Genomic DNA, 20,871 nt, shown 5'->3' with positions numbered 1-20,871 from the left:
GAATAAAGGCAAAAGACATATGACCACATTACTAGATGTAGAAAAGGTATTAGACAGAATTTAATTTTCAGTCATATTAAAAATATCTCTCAGCATATAAAAAATTGAGGGATTTTTTTCCATCTGATCAAAAGCTTCTACAAAAATTCTATAGCTAACATCATACTTAATGATTAAACATTAAATGATTTTTGTTTATAATTGGGAATAGGAAAAGTTAGTCAACTTTTCACAATTATGTTTAACATAATAGTTAATACTAGAGGTTCTAACAGGTACAACAAGATTAGAATGAAATAAGTAAAACTATCTTCATTATTAAAAATATGATTGTTTACATAGTATCCACTAAGGAATTTATCCCAAATAACCTACTACTATCAACAAGGAAATTTAGCAAAGACACAGGATAAAAATTCAGAATCAATTATATTTATTCACAAAATCAATTGCATTCATGTGCAATAAGAAAAATAATTGGAGAATTAAACAATGCCACTTATAATGGCATCTAAAAATGTAAAATACTTTGGAACAAATGTAACAAAAATAAGACTACTATACTGTAAAGTATAAAATATTACAGAGAGAAACTAAAAAAGACTAAAAATCTGGAAAAAATAAACTTTATTTGTCGATTGGAAGATTCAGTATTGTAAAATTGCCATGTCTACCCAATCGTATCATGTCAAAATCTCTGCAGGTATGGCAAGATAATTCTAAAATTTACTTAGAAATACAAATTACTTTGAATAGCCAAAAAAATTTTTGAAAAAGAACAAAGCTGAATAAATTATACAACATGCTTTCAAGGTTTACTATAAGCCTAGAACAATCAATTCAGTGTGGTATATATGAAGTATACGTAGTTAAATGGAAAGAAAATAGATCAGAGATACATCCAAATATATGCAATTAATTTATTTTAATTTACTTTAAAGTTAACAAGGCTGCCAAGGTAATTTCATAGGAAAATATTGTTTTTAAGAAATTCTATTGGAAAACCTTGACATAATTATAAGACAGTATAAATTAATTCTTTACTCTTACCTCACACAATATACAAAAAGTTATTCAAGATAGATCATAGACGTAGGGATAAAAGCTAAAAATATAAAACTCCTAGAAGAAAACAGAAAATATCTCCATATCCTGGTGTAAGCCAGGTTTCTTAGAATACAAAAAAGCCTCAGCTATAAAAGAAGATTAATAAATTGGACTTCATCCAAACTTAAAGCTTCTATTCTTCAAAATGCACTATAAAGAAAATAAAAGATAAGCCAGATTGGGAAAAAAATTCACAATACATAGATAGAGCAAAAAACTTAAGTTAGACTAGTGAACAATACAGTCAGGTTGCCTAAAAGTGATCCCAAGAAAACAAAGGGTCTGCTTAATACCTTCTTTGTGCAAATGTGCAGAGAAGAACCTAACAAGAAAAACCCAGAGGTCCCTGTCAATTTTGCAAAATTTTCCAAGCAGTGCTCTGAGAAGTGGCAGACAATGTCTAGGAGAGAGAAGTCTAAATTTGATGAAGTGGCAAAGGTGGATAAAGTACTCCATGTTTGGGAAATGAAGGATTATAGATCAGCTAAGGGAGGCAAGAAGGACTCTAATGCCCTCAAAAGGCCACCGTCTGGATTCTTCCAGTTCTTTTCAGAAGTCTACCCCAAGATCAAATCCACAAACCCTGGCATCTCTATTGGAGATGTGGCAAAAAAAAGCTGGGTGAGATGTGGAATAACTTAAGTAACAGTGAAATGCAACCTTGCATCAGTAAGGTGGTGAAGCTGAGGGAGAAGCATGAGAAAGATGTTGCTGACTGTAAGTCTAAAGGAAAGTTTGATGATGAAAAGAATCCTACTAAAGTTGCCCAGGAAAGATGGAAGAGAAAGATGAAGAAGAGAAGGAAGTAGAGGAGGAGGAGCAAGAATGAAAAAATTGTTTATCTGTCTCCTTGTGAATACCTGAGGGTAGGGGAATGCCATAATTGACACATCTCTTATTTGAGAGGTGTCTGCTGCCTTCTGTATTGGTCAGTTCTCAAGCTGCTAATAAAGACATATCAAAGACTGGGTAATTTTTAAAGAAAAAGAGGTTTAACAGACTCACAGTTCCACATGGCTAGAGAGGCCTCATAATCATGGCAGAAGGCAAAGGAGGGGAAAGGTATGTATTACATGGCAGCAGGTAAGAGGCCATGTACAGGAGAACTCCCCTTTATAAAACCATCAGATCTCCTAAGACCTATTCACTATCATGAGAAAAGCATAGAAAAGATCCCCCCCATGATTCAACTACCTCCCACCTGGTCCCTCCCATGACACATGGAAATTAAGGGAGCTACAATTAAAGATGAAATTTGGGTGGGGACACAGCCAAACCGTATTATTTCACCCCTGACCCCTCCCAAATCTCATGTCCTCACATTTCAAAGCCAATCATGCCTTACCAACAGTCCCTCAAAATCTTAACTCATTTCAGCATAAGCTCAAAAGTCCACAGTCCAAAGTCTCATTCAAAATAAGGCAAGTCCCTTCTGCCTATGAGCCTGTAAAATCAAAAGCAAGTTAGTTACTTCCTAGATACAATGGGGTACAGGCATTCAGTAAATGCAGCCATTCCAAATGGGAGAAATTGGGGAAAACAAAGGGTCTACAGTCCCCATGCAAGTCCAAAATCCAGTGGGGCAATCAAATCATCTTAAAGCTCCAAAACGATCTCCTTTGAGCCCATGTCTCATATCAAGGGAGTGCTGATGCAAAAGGTGGACTCCCACGGACTTGGCCTGCTCCACCCCATGGCTTTGCAGGGTACAGCTCCCCTCCTGGCTGCTGTCAGAGGCTGGCATTGAGCGTCCACGGCTTTTCCAGGTGCATGAAAAGCTGTTAGGGAATCCACCATTCTGGGGTCTGCAGGATGGTGGCCCTCTTCTCAGCTCCACTGGGCAGTGCCCTGGTGGAGACTCTGATCCCACATGTCCCTTTGGCACTGCCCTAGCAGAGGTTCTCCATGAGGGTTCCACCACTGCAGCAAACTTTTCCCTGGACATTCAGGGGTTTCCATACATCCTCTGAAATCTAGGTAGAGGTTCCCAAACCTCAATTCTTGACTTATGTGCACCTGCAGGCTCAATATCACATGGAAGCTGCCAAGGCTTGGAGCTTACACTCTCTGAAGCCATGGCCCAAGCTGTACCTAAACCCCTTTTAGCCACAGCTGGAATGGCTGGCACAGAGGGCACCAAGTCCTAAGGCTGCACACAGCAGGGGTGGCCTGGGCCCAGGAAACCATTTTTTCCTCCTAGGCTTCCAGGCCTGCAATGGGAGGGGCTGCTGCAATGGTCTCTGACATGCCCTGGAGACATTTTCCCCATTGTCTTGACGATTAACGTTCTGCTCCTTGTTACTTATGTGAATTTCTGAAGCAGGCTTGAATGTCTCCCCAGAAAATGGGTTTTTCTTTTCTGCTGCATCATCAGCCTGCAAATTTTTCAAACTTTTATACTCTGCTTCCTCTTGAACACTTTGCCACTTAGAAATTTCTTCCACCAGATACTCTAAATCATCTCTCTCTAGTTCAAAGTTCCACACATCTCTAGGGCAGGGGCAAAATGTCACCAGTCTCTTTGCATAGAAAGAGTGACCTTTACTCTGGTTCCCAACAAGCTCATCATCTCCATCTGAGACCACCTCAGCCTGGACCTTATTGTCCATATCACTATCAGCATTTTAGTCAAAGCCATTTAACAAGTCTCTAGGAAGTTCCAAACTTTCCCACATCTTCCTGTCTTCTGAACCCACCAAGTCTCTAGGAAGTTTCAGACTTCCCACATTTTCCTATCTTCACCTGAGCCCTCCAAACTATTCCAACCTCTACCTGTTACCGAGTTCCAAAGTTGCTTCCACATTTTCAGATATCTTTACAGCAGCGTCCCACTACCTGGTACTAATTTACTGTATTAGTTCTCATGCTGCTAATAAAGACATACCAGGGACTGGGTAATTTATAAAGTAAAAGAGGTTTAATGGGCTCACAGTTTCACATGACTGGGGAGACCTCACAATCATGGTGGCAGGCAAAGGAGGAGAAAGGCATATATTACATGGCAACAGGCAAGAGGGAGCTTGTATAGGGGAATTCCCCTTGATAAAACCATCAGATCTCATGAGACTTATTCACTATCATGAGAATAGCACAGGAGAGACCCACTCCCATAATCCATTATCTCCCACCAAGTCCCTCCCATGACAAATTTAATCACAATCATACTGTAGTCTCTCAAAGTACTCTAGAAATTGTCAGTGGTTTATATGAAGTGGCCACGGGTGTCTGGAGCACTGTGAAACTGCACAAGAGTTGTACATATTTCCAAGTATTTTTAAAATGAAAAGGCACTTTTGTATTTTCCTCATTCTGTGTACTTTGCTGTTGGCGTGACAAGGCATTTAAAGATATTTCTGGCATTTTTATTTGCAAGGTGGTGTTAATTATATGGTTATGAGCGAGAAACACTGAGTTATCAACTGTATGTATTTATAGTTTCTAAAAAGAACAGAACAACAAAGGCAAACTACGGATGCTCCTTGCTTGGTGTTGAGGCTGTGGGGAAAGGTGCCTTTTGGAGGCACCCAAGCTCAGGGCATGCACTGTGAGGTTGGACCTGTTGACTCTGCAGTGCATCTATTTAGCTTCAGATTGGCTTGTTTCTGTATATAGTGACATAGCATTCTGTTGCCATTCTTAGCTTTGGACAAAGCGGGGTCAGCTGACATGAGCAGTGTTTAGATTTTTTTTTTTTAGTTAAGTGCAATAGTTTCTAAACTGTTTTTAACAAACTGTAGAACTCTTGTCAGCAAAGTGAAGAACCCCTGCATCAATGAAAGTTCAAGAACCTTCTGCACTTAAACATAATTTGCAACATTCTATTTATTTTTGTATGTTTAGAATGTTGAAATGTTTTTCAAGAGTAATAAGTTTTTTAAAAAAACTTAAATTCAGAATATATAAAGAACTCCTAAAACTTAATATTTTAAAGTGAGACAAATTAAAAAGTAGCCAAAAGATTCAAGCACAGATTTCTCAGAAGATATGTGAATGGCCTAGAAACACATGAAAATATATTTAACACCATTAGTCATCAGGGAAATGCAAATCAAAACCACGATGAGATATCACTTCACAGACACTAGAACCATTAAAATTAAACACTAACAATGCAAAATGTTGGTGATGAAATGGAGCCACTGGAAATCTCCTAGACCACTGGTGGGAATGCAAAAAGATGCAACTACTTTAGAAAACAGGTAAACACCCGTTGGATGACCCAGCAATTCTCCTCCCAGGTATTTACTCAAAAGGAATAAAGCCATGTGTTCACAAAAAGTACAAACATTTTTATAGAACCTTTATTCATATTAGCCAAAAACTGGTAACACTCCAGATACCTCTTTCAACAGGTAAAACAATGTTAAAAGTATGGTAAATTCATGCAATGGACTCAGTAACAAAACAAAAACCAAAAGAAAACAGAAGAAATACCACATTATGAATAAATCTCAAAAACATTATGGTGAATGAAAGAAGCCAAAACAAAAGAGTACATACTGTATGATTTCAGTAATTCTAGAACACAAACAAGACTAAGCTATGTTAACAGAAATCAGATCCAGCTGGGCAGAAAGAGTCAAGGGTTGGGGTAGTGAGTACAGAGGACTTTTCTAGGCAACAAAAATGTTCTTGATTAGGGTAGTGGCTACACCAATATATTCATTTGTCAAAGCTCATTTAACTATATACTTAAGATGTGGGTGTATCATCTTATGTAAATTATATATAAGTATTTTTAAGTGTATCAATCTATGGGAAGAAAGAAAGGCTATTCAGGCAGTGGGACAGCCTTTGCAAAGTCTCAGAAGAGAAAAGGAAAGTGCTACAAGGTTGTTTATAAATTACCTGTTGGATGCTTAGTAGCCTATTTTAATCCTCTCTATCCTACCTATGTGTTTTAACTGAATTGTTCATGTCAACAAGGGGATCTCAGCAGCCTCACTAGAGGCTGTTCTCCAAAAGGATGCATGTGTGCTATGGTATAGTATAATAAGTGCTTAAGACTTGGGCTCTAGAGACAGGAAGACTGAATTCAAATCCGAGCAACACCTCCATTCCTGTTTAGTGGTTGTGACAGCTTAGGCAAGTATTTGTTTTCTCAATGCCTCTATTTTTATATCTCTAAAATGGAGATGATGAGTGTACCTTCCTTCCGAGGTTATTATAAGGATTATGTGAGTTAATACATGCAAAGTATTTAGTGCCCATCATGTAATGAATATTAATACATATTTATTATTATTGAGGACAGGGTTTCTATCTCCTTTATTCATCACCACTTCCTGGTATATAACAGATTCTCAATTAATACACTGTATTTACTAGTTGTCAATAAAAGAAAAAGAAGTCTGCTTGCTGAATCTAGGATACAAAGAAGGGGAATGTACTAACTACCTATTTCTTTTCTTCTGCAGCCCTTAGTCTAGAAAATGATCTGTTTTTAGTCGTGGCATTTACCCTGCAGGTGGAAGCTTCTCAACACCTCCCAACAGCACACTCACCAGAAGCCAGCCCTCTCCTGTGCAGCTATAGAAGTAGAGGAAATTCATCCCAAAAGCCATAGAGAAAATGGAGGAATAATTTTACTCTCAATAACTTTATCTTGCTTACCTAACAACATGTAATACTTGAGAATTACCATGTTTTTGTGTACAATTCTCATTGACCAAAATTATTTCTATTCATTCTGAAAACAGTATACTATAAATCAAATATCTGATATGGCTTCTACTTTTTCTTAGGCAAAGGAGTTCATCACAAACTATCCTCTAAGGAAATCTCCCGTAGTCAGCTCCCTGCTCCATTTTGCTCTTCTCGCAAGGGGTCATTGTAAGTCCTCAATAAATATTGGTTGATTGAACGACTGAGCAGAACTTTAAGACTTAACCTGTTTTGGAGAACAGAAAATAATTCAGAATGGCTGCACCACAGAGTGTGAGAGGGGAAATGGAAAGAAATGAAGCTGAAGAGCAGACCCTGAAGTGCTTTATCATGTCAATGTTTTTTCTTTGCTTTATCCTGAATGAAAGGGGATAGTACAAAAGGAAAGAGTCACCTTGAGTTTTTTGGATAATTCCAAGTATCTCCCATGTTAAACTCTACCATTCTGTTATGAATGTTTATTTGTCCTTAAGCAAAGATTTAATAGAAGCTCATTTTAGAAAACGTAAAAATTCAGAATATAAATTTTAAAAAACTGTATCAATAGTGCTACTATACAGATGGCTCCCAATAATATATTACTATACTTTGTTTTTTCCTATGCATATATCTACATTTCACAAAGTTTATGACCTATCTTTTCACTGATTACAAACTTTTTTTTTCTTTAAGACGGAGTCTCACCTGTCGCCCAGGCTGGAGTGCAGTGGCGCAATCTCGGCTCACTGCAAGCTCCGCCTCCCGGGTTCACTCCATTCTCCTGCCTCAGCCTCCAGAGTAGCTGGAACTACAGGTGCCCTCCACCACGCCTGGCCAATTTTTTGTATTTTCAGTAGAGATGGGGTTTCACCGTGTTAGCCAGGATGATTATAAACTTCTTGATGACAGGGAAAGTATTCTAGTCAACTTTATTTTCTTCACACCAAATGGCCAGCTCTTGATGTACAATAGAGGCCCACTCAATTGATAATGGCCAACACTCACATGATACCATTTATATGCCAGGCACTGGAGGGAACGCTTTGCATGTATTACTCATTTAACTCCCATAGAAACCATATGACATTGGTATTACATCCCTTTTACACATGAGGAAACTAAGATTAGAGAAGCTAAGTCACTTGTCTGAGATCACAGAGCTAGTAAGTGGTAGAGCTGCAACTGGAATGCTCTTAATCACTGCTATTCTGACTCTCAGAATCTGATTTTACTGAGACTGACTTCCCGAATCAGATTTCCTACCAGACTCTGAGAACCACTGACCTAGTCAATTGCCTGTTCTGCAAGAGAGGGAAACAAACCCAGAGAGGGCAAGTGTCTTGCCCCATGGCCACAGAACTTATTATTTATTCAACTAATATGGACGGCAATTAACAAAGATGTGTAATATATATTAGGTTGGTGCAAATGTAACTGTGGTTTTTGCCATTACTTTTAATTATTTTTAATGGCAAAAACCGCGATTAAGTTTGCACCAACCTAATATGTGCCTCATATTGGGCACACAAATTGAGATTCAGAGATAAATAAGAACTAGTCAGGGCCCAAGATTCCAGTCTTCCTCCAGATGCTCCTTCCTCCTCACATGCCTCAGAGGAGAAGTGCAGAGGGTGCATTCAAGAGGAAGACCAGGAATAGCAACAGCAGGGCCTTGGAATGGGTAAAATTGAGGGCAGCTTGATAAATCTCCTAAGTCACTTTTACAACGGGTTTCCTATGACTGCCCTGAGATGGCTAGCAGGGTGTTGTCCACAGAGGGAGCTCCTCAAGCAGAATAGGATTCTATATCTCCATAAATGAAATGGAACTTACAAAATTTGAGACAGATGGAATGGAAGGGGATGGGCTGAGTTGGGATGGAACAGGAGAGCACATGAAGGGATCTGATGACCTTGAATTGAATGTAATCAGATCAAATTCCATCCATAGTGAGTGGGCAGGAATCTATGTTCAACCATCAACACTCTCACTTTCCCCTTATGGCAAGAAATTCTAGGAGGCTGGCAGCCATCTGTGGCAGGGGATGCCACGCTCTATCGTGGCCTCTCAGCCTGATGCAATAGCTCACTGGAATCCCACTTAGAAAGTCCAGGACCTCTAGTATGTCCCAACTCATGGAAAAGGACACCTGAGACCAGAAAAAGAAAAATGCTGAACGTATTATAATGCTATACCTACAGGAAAAAAAAAAAAAAAAAAAAACTAGAATCAGAAAGGCTATATAAGATTTTCAACTTGTGTTCCCCATGTCCCCAAAAAAGTTCCTGACCACTTTGAGGGTAACCACTATGTAGATGAATATGTTACTCACTACTTGAAGAAAACAGACCAATCATCACTTCTCTGTATCCTGAAAAGTGAAAAAATAAGGAGCCCAGGATAATTGGAGACCTTGTCCAATTTCATCTTGAGCTAATGCTAAGAACAGCACCCACTCCCTGTCCCTGAAATCCAAAGCTGTGATTCACCATTACCTCAGCAAGCACTTATGCCACACTCACTTCAAAGTTAGCAGCACCCTCTTGCTCATTTTTGACAACTAGAGCAACTTTATGCAGGGAAATCATCTCCAACAGCACAGAGGCCAATGGGCAGCTCGCCAGAGCAGAGCATCTGCATCAAGGAGGCTTAGAAGACCATTTTGCCTCTGCTGCAGTTTCCTGTGGCTGCTGTGTCAGAATATTTCAAGTCTTTTGTAATTCAGAACATGCTCCTTTGGGGCAAAATTGTGTGGCAGACACAGGCTTTGATGGCCACTATCTTTTCAACCTCATCATTCATGGGTCAGCTCACTCCCCCTGCTTGATCTTCCTGCCTTACGTTGGGGCCAGTAAGCTCTCACTGAATTCTGTACCCACCCTGTTCTTGCTCATTTTCCCGCCTGCAAAGCCATAGAACCTAGTATATGGGGAATAAAGTTTACTTTCCTTTCTCCCCTTTGGATGGCAGCTTAAAATCAGTCCCTGGGGTATCGTAGCATCATAAGTTAGAAAACTCTATGATGGAAACAGGATGACTCTGTTAATTGTTTGACTTCAGCGTGATGATTTTCAGTGGGAGTGAGATAGAGAAACAGATTTTGAGATTAGGCGTTTACTTATATCTGCAGTTTGACAATTTGTATCACAGACGCCGTTACATCTAACCCAAATTCTATATTGTCATTCAGTCATCTGACCAACCTGCTGTATGACCCTCTTCATGTAGTGGGAAATATCTTAGTAGCTGCGGAATGAATATCCAGGTAGAGAGTGGCACATAGGAGCTGCTCCCCAGTTTACATCATTTTACAACTATTATTGTCAGCTCTGCTTGTGGTTTTCCCTGTTCTGTTCTTAAGCAATGGATTATTCTCATATGAGTAGGACAGCAATGATCTTTACGACATTAAATGATGTTAGATGAGATACTTCTCTCCAGACTCTGAACCATTTAGGAGATGCTTTTTCATCCCAGCTTGGGTCAGCCTCCAAGCTGGAATCCATCAGAATCAAGCTACGGAGACTTGATTTTTAAACCCATCTAGGGCTTTTTCCCCTCAGATTCCCTAAAAGTTCCCACATTATCTCCTCTATTTCCTCTTGACATTTAAGTCAAATACACTGAGAAACAAAATATCTTGGAAAACAGTAGTCTGTCTTGTCAAAGTAAATCAGGTCAAGAAAGTGAAAAAAGCAAGAGAACCCTGGAAATAATGGAGAAATTTGAGTACCTTTCAACATTTGTGCCAGAAATCACCAACCCAATGTCCACCTCCCACACATTAAACTTTCCTCCAGAAGACACAAGGACTCCACCTTGCTTTTTTCAATCTCCATTAGAAGCTTTAACTGGGATTTCCAGTTCCTGCTTACTAGAGCTTGAAAGTTCTACTTACTTTGGCAAGGCCTACAAAGATAACCGGAAGATGTCAACAAATGAGTTGGTGCCCTCAGATGTGGCCTGGCCTGTGGTTGCATCTGCTGCTCTACAACTACATATAGCTGGTCCTATGCAACAGTAAAGCGAAGATTTTGACTCAAATGACCTACCATCTCCCATCAAAGTACACCCCAAAGGTATCCCATCGAACGCTAAGGAAATTAAAGAAAAATAATTACATGGCCTTGGATGATCCTCCCATCAGAAGTGGGATCTTTGTCACCTCCCCTTGAATTTGGGCAAATTTGTAGTTACTTAACCTGTAACTCCAATAGAATGTAGTAGAACAGGAACTATAAGACTTTTAAGGCTTAGTCAGAAAAGGTGATAAAGTTTTTGTCTTATTCACTTGGATACTCACATTTAGAACGTTGAGACACCATGAAAAAGTCCAACTTCCTTGAGGCCGCCATGCTGCTAAAAGTCCAGGTCACATGGAGAGGCCATGTGTAGGTATTCTGGGAGAAGCACCAGCTAAGGTCCAAACTGATGGTTGGTGTCAACTGACTCACATGTAAGTGAAGGTGCCTTCCTATGAGTCCAGCTCCAGCCATAAACTCACCCCATCCATTAGGAGGCAAGACAAGGCCCTCCCCACTGTGCCTGGTCTGGAATTCCTCACCCATAGAACTTATTGGCATAATAAAATGGTTGTTTTAAGCTTCTAAGTTTTGTATTAATTTGTAAGCAGCACTAGTAACTATATTAGTCTGTTTTCATGCTGCTGATAAAGACATACCTGAGACTGGGTAATTTATAAAGAATAAGATGTTTAATGGACGCACAGGTCCATACGGCTGGAGAAGGCCTTACAATCATGGCAGAAAGTGAAAGACACACCTTATACGACAACAGGCAAGAGAGAGAATGAGGGCCAAGGGAAAGCGGTTTCCCCTTATAAAACCATCAGATCTCGTGAGACTTATTCACCACCACGAGAACAGTACTGGGGAAACCACCCCTGTGATTCAATTATCTCCCACCAGGTCCTTCCCACAACACGTGAGAATTATGGGAGCTACAATTCAAGATGAGATTTAGGTGGGGACACAGCAAAACCTTATCAGTAACTGAAACAAATAGTGTGGTATAATGTTTAAAATCAAACAGGCCTGCATTTAAATTCTAGCTCTACCCTTTGCATGAAGTTAGCAACCTATTCAACCTTTATGAGCCTATTTCTGATCTGTAAAACAGTGAAAATAAGACTTCTTATAGAGCTTTTGTGAGGAATCGACTAATCTATAACATCAACAACAAAATAGAACTCCTCCCATAAGTGTTAGTTGCCTTTCTCCCCTACCACTCTTCCTTAGTCCCAGTTCTGATGACCCAGTTGCTATCAATTGAGCTAATGAAACAAATCTATTAACTTCCCTCCAAAACCTAATTTTTTTGTATAAATAAAAAACAGCTGAAGGAAATGCCTTGCAAAAGAGAACTAAAAAAAAATTTTAAAAGGGGTTTTTCTTATTTTCCTCATCCTAGCCAACTGACAAAAGGAACTTTGGTCAGTTTTGCAATTTGCATCGTTATTCTAATTAGAAGCCAGCTAAAAGCCAATCTCCTATGTTCTCTACTAGATTTTAGTGCTTTTCTAATTTCAGTGCACATATGCATCACCTGGGGATCTTGTTAAAATGCAGATTTATATTCAGTGGGTCTTGGGTGAAGCCTGAGCTTCTTCATTTCTAATGAGCTCCCGGGTGATGTCCACACTGCACCCTATTATTTGTTCCAGTTACTATTGCTATCTACAAATTAATCCAAAATTTAGAAGCTTAAATATCCCATTTTATCACGCCAATAAATTCTGTGAGTCAAAAATTCCAGACAAGGTTTCACCAACACTCTGAGCAGCAAGGTCCTACAAGACACTATGAAAGGAAGTACTAATTATTCAATAGATAATTCTGCCACCCTACTCTGCATTAATTCATCCTCAGCTTCCCCCAGGTTAGTGGAGTATGGCTGATGGCTGCCAGATTCAGGCCCTACCTCCCTGCAACGGCAGCTCACTTGGCTTCAGGTTAACTACAGAGTCATTTCCACCATCAGCCTTCTCTTGTGAAAGCCCTACACATTGCCTAATCTTTTGTTCCCAATCATTTTCTCATGCAATCTTCAGAACAACGTGTGAGAAGGAATGATTCTGTTCTTTCATAGTTGACAGGGGGTGAAGGAGAGGTTCAAATGTAGCACTAGAATCCAGATTTTCTAACTTCAGGCTAGCAGACATCAACTTACTGCAGGGGTACAACCACTTAGTGTCAGTATGCCAAACCTGGTCCAAGTGTTAACTGGCCTGTTGGTAGGCAGCTATTTGGAAATACATATATGTTTAGACAGAGTCTCACTCTATTGCCCAGGCCGGAGGGCAATGGTGTGATTGTAGCTCACTTCAGCCTCGACCTTCTGGATTCAAGGAATCCTCCCATCTCAGCCTCCCAAGTAGTTGAGACCACAAGCATGTGCCACCACACCTGGCTAATTTTTAAATTTTTTGTAGAGACAGAGTTTTGCCATGTGGCCCAGGCTGGTCTCAAACTCCTGAGCTCAGGCAACTGGCCCACCTCAGCCTCCCAAAGTACTGGGATTACAGGCGTGAGCCATCACGTTCGGCCAGAAAAATAAATTTAAATGAGAAAGTATGAGAGACTCAACTTTGCTCTCTTATGTAGCCTTAGATATTGATGGGTGCATGGTGCAGGGTGGGAAACCCATACTGAGGATTTACTATTGACCTCATTTTACAGACCAAGAAAGTGAGGCTCAGAGAAGTTAAGTAAATTAGCTCAAACGCTGCCAGAAAAAAGTAGTAGAGTAGGCTTCAAGGTGGGTATGTCTGACCCTAAAACTAGTTTCCCCCTTAGCACCTCTGGTTTCCAGGCATAATATTTTACCGATGTGTAGCTCAGTCAGTGAACTTGTGTAGATTTGATGGATTGCCAATTAATTGATGGATCAGTTGATAGTGCTGACAGAGGTCAATGTAACATTTACCCAAGTCAGTCCACAGTTTCCTAGCTGACTTCCATAGGTTCAATTCTGCCTATAATTGATGTGACTTCTGCTTTTAGGCCAGTTAGTGCAATAAGAGAACTGTACTCAGAACCTGTATTTCACTGGATTATGCCACTTGAAGCTCTGTTAAGATGGTCTTGCTTGTTGGGCTTGGCTGCTGCAGACAGAAATTCTGCTTAAAGGCAGAAAATCTGTGGGTATTGTGAGCCTTGGAATGCAAATGAATTTGAGTTTTTTTTATTATGAACTTGTCTCAGTATATTCTCACTAGAGACTAAGGCTAGATGTTAACATACAAACCAGCAAAGGAGGAAAGAACAATTTTAGCCCAGAGTTGATTAGAAAACAAGTCAGGAGTTATGAAAGTTAAATGCAAGATGGCATCTTGTTGTGGGACCTTTCAATGGCAAGGAGAAACCGGGGCAGCAGGTGCCCTTATTTATACTAAGATTGTGTGTGGGTCTTTCATTCGCTCACTGTCTTGGGTTTCAAGGTATAGATTCAAGCTAGCATAAGATAAGGAGAGCTGATTATGAGGAATCAGGTGTATTTCATAGAATGCAATGACAAGAAATACAGATAGGCCACGTAAAAACTGGAAAACCTGTGGACTGCTGGCCCCTTTGCCTATCTAGCTCTGTCTCTTCCCTGGAACCACATAGCTTCTTTTTTTTTTTTTTCTGAGTAATTGTATGTGATTTTATTTTCTTTTTCATATGGCTACTGATATGGTTTGACTGTGTCCCCACCCAAATCTCTTCTTGAATTGTAGCTCCCATAATCCCCATATGTCATGGGAGGAACTCAGTAGAAGGTAATTAAATCATGGGGGTGTGGAACCACATAGCTTCTTGTCTCTGCTAGAAAATTTACTGCATTTCCTCTCTTTCTCTCTCTAAGAAAATTTACTACATTTCCTCTCTCTCTCTCTCTCTCTCTCTCTCTCTCTCTCTCTCTCTCTGTCTCACACACACACACACACACTTTCTCTCTAAGGCCCTTCCTCATAGCATCAATTTACATGGAGCTCTGTGTTGCTATAGTGTTGACTGTAGTTGCAACACGACTGTACATCTCCTCTGCCCATTACCATCTGACAATATCTGGAGCTCTTTGTTCAAGTTCTGAAGAGATAATCTGATATTCAGTGCAAGGTCAATTATGGCACTTCCAAAGAAAGGAGCATGCTCTTAGCAGACTTCTAAAATATAGCTACTACATGCCTAAGGATATGGGGGTGGAAATAGCTAACACAGATTCCAGCCTAAAACCTCATAGGATCATAAATGGAACCGAAAACATAAATTCTAAAATACCCCATCAAATGTTTATCTTCCATGACTGTTCTCCTTTGTCTTTACATATGAAATACAGGTCTTACTCCACAACTCTCAGACTCACCCCAGATCTGAGTGCCAGCTGCGTGTCATTGGCCTCCATCACTTTATCAGTAAAAAGAGGGTCCGTAAAATTCATAAAGTGATAACCTTTCTCCCTGCTCCATGGAATTGTGCTATTTGCCATGTCCTGTGCTCAGCTCTAAAGACTTAATCTGTGCCCCAAGAAACTAGTATAATTGCAGGGAAAATAGACCCATCAAAACAAATAATTGTTCTACCACAGAGCTTTTCATTTTATTATCAGGTGACTCCCCATATCATATGATGAAGCAAGGGGACTGAGTATAAAAGCAACTAAGAATCTCCCAGGTTCCTGCTTAAAATGCAGACCTCTAGGTCTCACCCTAGATGTGCTAGGTCAGAAGTTCTGGGGTTGGAGCCCAGGAATATGTATTGTAAACAATCCCCCAGGTAATCTGAGGAGGGCAATGTTTGAGAACCACTGCTTTATCTCATGAGAAGTGTCAAAATTGAGGCCATGCTGTAGCCACAAGGAAGACTGACTCCCGGCATAAAGACTTCCCCAGGGAGTGATATTTGAGTTGAGTGTCACATGTGTATATCAAGAAAAGCATGGGGATAAGAGAACTCCAAGCAGAAGGAAAAGCAAAACCCCAGAAGGATGAAAATCATAACAGGCTCTGAGGAAACAAAGCATACACTCATCCAGTTGTAATATAGGACAATTGTAGAAAGAGCAGCAGCATATGTGACTGGAGCCAAACTGGAAAGGGCCAACTGTGCAAGACTAAAAGATATAACATGTTCAAGAGGTCTTTGAAGAGTTTCTCTGACTTGTTTAATTTCCTTAATACCTTTATTAATAAAGGTATCAATTTCTTTAATACCTTTTTCTCTAGAATTCACTTTTCCTGGTACTTCCCTGGCCTGTGAAAGGCCTCCGGAATCTCAAAGTCACTGTTCATCCAACAAAACTGTTGAAACTTAATAGAGACAGAGAGCCTGGAGCTGGTTACATCAAATGCCACTCATGAGAAGGAGAATTGAAAATCATCCCGAGATCTGTCAGATCCCAGAGTTGTCTTCCACAGAGAAGGAGTGGGGCCAAGGAAAAAGGAATCTGTTCTCTATCATCTCTACAAAGACTGCACAGACAGGGGATTGCCTAAGCCAGTGTCATCATTTCTGTGTTAGCTGAGGTCCAAGAGCTGTTTTGTTTCCCTGCCAAACACAAGAGGCTGAACGTCTCCAACAACCTCCCTCCAGGAGCCAGAAGGCTCAACTGAACTTAAGCCAAAGTTTCCTCTACCTACTTTCCTCCCAGGACCTGGTAGTTCCACATCTAAAGTCTTCCAAATAGCCATGTGCAGAGTTAGGTTAAGGGCAAAAACCCACATCCAGAAAGAAATGTTCTTTCCTTCTTTTTTTTTTTGTTTTTTTCTTTTTTTGTTTTTCTTTTAATAGTAACAGGGACAGTTTGCTTTTAAAATAGTCACCTGAGGTGTGATTGATAGGAAATCACTACTTGTCATTTCCGGCTCCATGGGAAATGTGATTCAGTGAAACTTAACTAAGCCTTTTATTTCCTATATTTGCTCCTTTATAAATTGGAGCCTGTCAGCTGCCCATCTGAGAAACATCAGAGAGCCTGAGTGTCCTGCGGTATTTTTCATAGAGCAATTCCTCCAGCCTAACATATTACATTTCCAGGCTCTTTGTTCTCTCGCCAATAAAATATATGTTTCCCAGAACTGCATATCCAACCCTATTTAGGAACCATTTAGAACAAAGAGTGAGGGCTTAATTTTCTGCATTTCTCTCTCCACACCTTCTCTATCCACCTCCTCCACCCAGCAACACCACAGGAAACCCGGGCTTCCTAAATAGAAGCAAGTAATTTTCTGAGGCTCCAACATTTTCTCTCTCACACTTACAGGATTTTTCAGGAGCCTGCTTTTAAGGCTGGCAGACACAGCTCCCCACACACAGCCTGGAGATGTACATGTCCAAGGTCAGGGTTGAGCCTCCCAGGGCTCACATGAAGGACAAAGACTTTAGAATCAAAATGACCAAGATTTAAATTCCAACTCTCCAATATATTAGTTGTTTCACCTTGATTAATTTATTTCCTTAATGAAACCTCCCTTTTCTTACCTGTAATAGTAAAATAATATTAACATCTGTCTAGTTTTAGTGTGAGACTTTTAAAAAAATAAGAAATTGTGGCAGACCTTGTTGGTTGCCATTCTCAATTTTATTATCCTGTGGCACCTTTCACTTTAGAGGCTGGAAAAACTTAATACTTATTTTCCTGGTCTCCCCTTCAGCCAGGGATGGCCAGTTAACTCAGCTATGGGCAATGTTATATAAGCAGAAGTCTGAAAAAAGTTTCCTGGAAGTGTTTCTGCTTCCCTGAAAAAATGGAAAGATGAGGCCAACTGGTTCTCCTACTCTTTTCTCCCTGCTTTGACCAAAGATGTTATCTGGAGCTGCAGGAGCGCTCTTGTGGCCAAGAGGCTCTCAGAGTCACCTGTACTGACATCATCAAGACACTGAAGCAATGCTGAAGGCATCGAACTCCAGATTTCTTGTTATGTGAAAAGAATAGTGTCTCTTTATATAAGCCACTTCAAGTTGAGTTTTCTGTTCCTTGCTATCAAGTGCATTCCTAAACTGCTGTGTGTGAGCGATGTAAATAAAGGGACTACAGGAGTCTACAGTATTTACTAAATATTGGTTCTATCCTCCCCACCCTCCCCATGTGTCTTCTCCTCAAAATATACTTAGTACTAATCTATACCATTGAATTATTCATATTTAGAGTGGGATTTGGCCTGAGAATATGCATCCAGACTGGATTTTGAGGCCTCTGCAATGTTTCTTCTACCCCGACCACCTGCACACTGAGGTTAAACTCCCAGTCAATGAGAGTCCAGCCAGTTGGTTATACTCCATATGAGTCATAAGTGTCCTATCCCCAACCACTCTTTCCTCCATTCCCTGTCTTCCCTCATTCTCTTCCCCCATCCTTCTTTCAGCCTGCCTGAATCTCTTCCATCCTTCCTTTGCTGGGTGCATCCCCACCATCTCCCTGAGATACCTTTTCTGATGCGATCAGGAATGGCCAGGAGAGAAAAGAGAGTCATGTGACACAAATTTAGTTGCCCCATTTGGCAATGGTGATGGGCAGGCAGAAAAGCATGTCTAGTCCAGGGAAACCTTGGAAATAAGGGATACAGAGTTTTATAATCAATATATTAAAAAAAAAAAAAAAAAAAAACTCTGCAAGGCAGATGCAGAGCAGCCACCAGGGCTTCACTTTGACCCTGGCAGTCAGGAGAACAAAAAAGCTGGAGAGCCAAGGTCACCCAGGAGCTACCTTAGAGGTGGGTAGAAGAAGCATCCAGGGAATAGAGAAAACAAAGACAGGAACCACAGTGCAGATGGTAGCCTCAGAAGCTCCACAAGGTCCCTGGCCAAAGAGAAAAGAAATTGAATTCCCCTTCCTGTGTCCATGTGTTCTCATGGTTCAATTCCCACCTATGAGTGAGAACATGCGGTGTTTGGTTTTTTGTCCGCACATGTACCCTAAAATTTAAAGTATAATTTAAAAAAAAGGAAAAAAAAAAAGCAATAAATAAATAAATAAATAAATACGGGAGCTACGAAAAAAAAAAAAAGAAAGAAATTGAATTGACCAAAGCTTTGAAATAATTTGTCCCCACCTGCCATACCTCTCAGGATGGGTGGAGGGGGTCAACCATCTGCCAGTTGACCAGATAATCAATGAAGGATGAGAGGACAGTCCACATCAGCCCTTCAGGTAGAATACCTTGGACATGTCAGAGGCTGCCATACAGACCTGGTTGTGCTCATCTTGGGTAAATTGTGACACCTACTGGCTCATAATGGAGAAAACCCATGCTTCACTTTGGTAAAAAGTTCCCTGGTGCTAGTGTGATGCAAATGTCTCCCAGATGGACTAGACTCTTTGCTAGTGAGAAATTATATACCTTTCAGGTTCTATGGCCATGCCCAGATTCAGTTTCCCATGACCACAGTTGTCTGGAAGGACAATGGAAATAACCAGAGGACAAGCCACTGTAATAAGAAGTGGTCACGGAGAATGGCCCAATGCAGAGATTTGAGTTCTGGTTCTGCCTGTGTCTCTTTGTGGCCTGAAGACATTAAACAAATCACTTCTTCTATTTCGCTGTCACTTTTGTTGTTGGTTATCTTTTCAAAGGAATGTGTTACCCTTGTTCTGTCTACCTTAGAGTTTATGTGTAAAGAATCAAAAGAGAGAGCCTTGTTGAAGCAACAAACGTGTTTTTGTGTTTTTTAACAAGCATTTAAGTATCTCAAACTACCATACTTCTGGAGACATATACCTGTACATATACATACGAACATAAATATGCATAGCAGTATTGATACAAAAGTGAATAAGCCACAATTCCAACCTAGAAAGACACATACATGTAAACCAAATGTAAGCCAAAAGTAAAATTCTAAGGTCCCCTAACCATCTGAATGGACTTCCTCGTCAGCCAGGGCACCCTTAAAATTTAACCTGAAAGACTGGTTCAGGCCATGATGGGAAGTGGGGGTCAGACATGCCTCATTATACCTCTCTGGCATTAACATCAACCGACTTTAAGTCTGATAAAGAAACATTTTACAGCCTATTCTTTCTGAAGCCTACTACCTGAAGGTTTCCTCTGCAAATAAGAACTTTGGTCTCCACAATCCTTTATCTTAACCCAAATATTCTTTCTATAGATCCCAGGTCTTTAGATAAACTGAACCAGTTGTCAACTAGAAAACTTTTAAATATACCTATAAGCTGGAAGCTCCCACTTCAAGTTATCCCACCTTTCTGGACCAAACCAATGTGTTTCTTAAATGTACTTGATTGAAGTCTCATGCCTCCTTAAAATGTACAAAACCAAGCTGCATCCCAGTCACCTTGAGCACATGTTCTCAGGACCTCCTGAGGGCTGTGTCACAGGCCATGGTCATTCATATTTGGCTCAGAATAAATCTCTTCAGATAATTTACAGTTTGACTTTTTTTGTCAACCCAAAGAATCCTGTTCTCTTTGCCTGAAACACTTCCTCCCTCAGCTTATCCTTCGATTCACAACCTTCATATCACTTCCTCTGGGAAGCCCTACTTCTGCCCTCACCCTAGTCAAGCCAGGCCTCCTGTGACACTCTCACAGCACATTTCACAGTTCTCACAGGCACAGGACAACACCAGACTGGAGGCAGGTGATTGAATGTTCAAATCCTAGCACTCCCCTCACTGACTGTAGGACCATGGGCAAATTTCCAAGCACCACCAAACTGTGGTATCCTTTCCTGCAAAGTAAGGAAGACAATACAAACTTCCTAGGGTTTTGATAAGGATTACATAAAATGGCACATGTAAAGCACCTTGAAGAGTGCCTGTCAAAAAGTAAACTCTCAGGAAGTGTTAGTTTTTACCATCATTTGTGAAATGTTTAATTTAATGTTCATCTCTCCCACCAGACTATTGACTTCAAGAAGGCAGAAGCCCTGCCCACTTTTCTCAGGCCGTATCCCCTGCACTTAGCACAGTATCTTGAAACCCAAGCCTTTTCCTTTATAAAATGCAAATAATCATAGTAACCACTTCATAGTGTGTTGTAAACACTAAAGATGACCATGTCTCCAAGTCAGCACTAAAGCAATTATCATAAGGCCAAGCACATAGCTAAGTATTCTATTGATGTTTTTACTATTGTTATTATTATAAATGATATAAATGA

At 40.3% G+C, this 20,871-nt stretch overlaps 1 long non-coding RNA gene and 1 pseudogene across 3 annotated transcripts in view, besides 1 other annotated feature; one reads left to right on the top strand and one right to left on the bottom strand.

Annotated features, from left to right (window-relative positions):
• Positions 1 to 20,871, bottom strand: part of LOC107984361 (uncharacterized) — a 552,293-nt gene that overhangs the window by 429,376 nt on the left and 102,046 nt on the right. The gene's annotated exons all lie outside the window — the stretch shown is intronic.
• Positions 1,333 to 2,028, top strand: HMGB3P25 (high mobility group box 3 pseudogene 25; annotated as a pseudogene).
• Positions 18,966 to 19,055: a silencer, noted in NCBI's record as "silent region_3832". NCBI's record gives its function as "represses an Ori minimal core promoter by ATAC-STARR-seq in GM12878 lymphoblastoid cells {active_cell/tissue: GM12878}" and the evidence as "EXISTENCE:reporter gene assay evidence [ECO:0000049][PMID:35858748]".

This window comes from Homo sapiens, chromosome 11 (assembly GCF_000001405.40).
Source record: "Homo sapiens chromosome 11, GRCh38.p14 Primary Assembly".
In the NCBI taxonomy this organism is placed as follows: domain Eukaryota; kingdom Metazoa; phylum Chordata; class Mammalia; order Primates; family Hominidae; genus Homo; species Homo sapiens.
The sequence above is the reverse complement of the archived record's forward strand: the minus strand, read 5'-3'. Positions and strand labels throughout refer to the sequence as shown.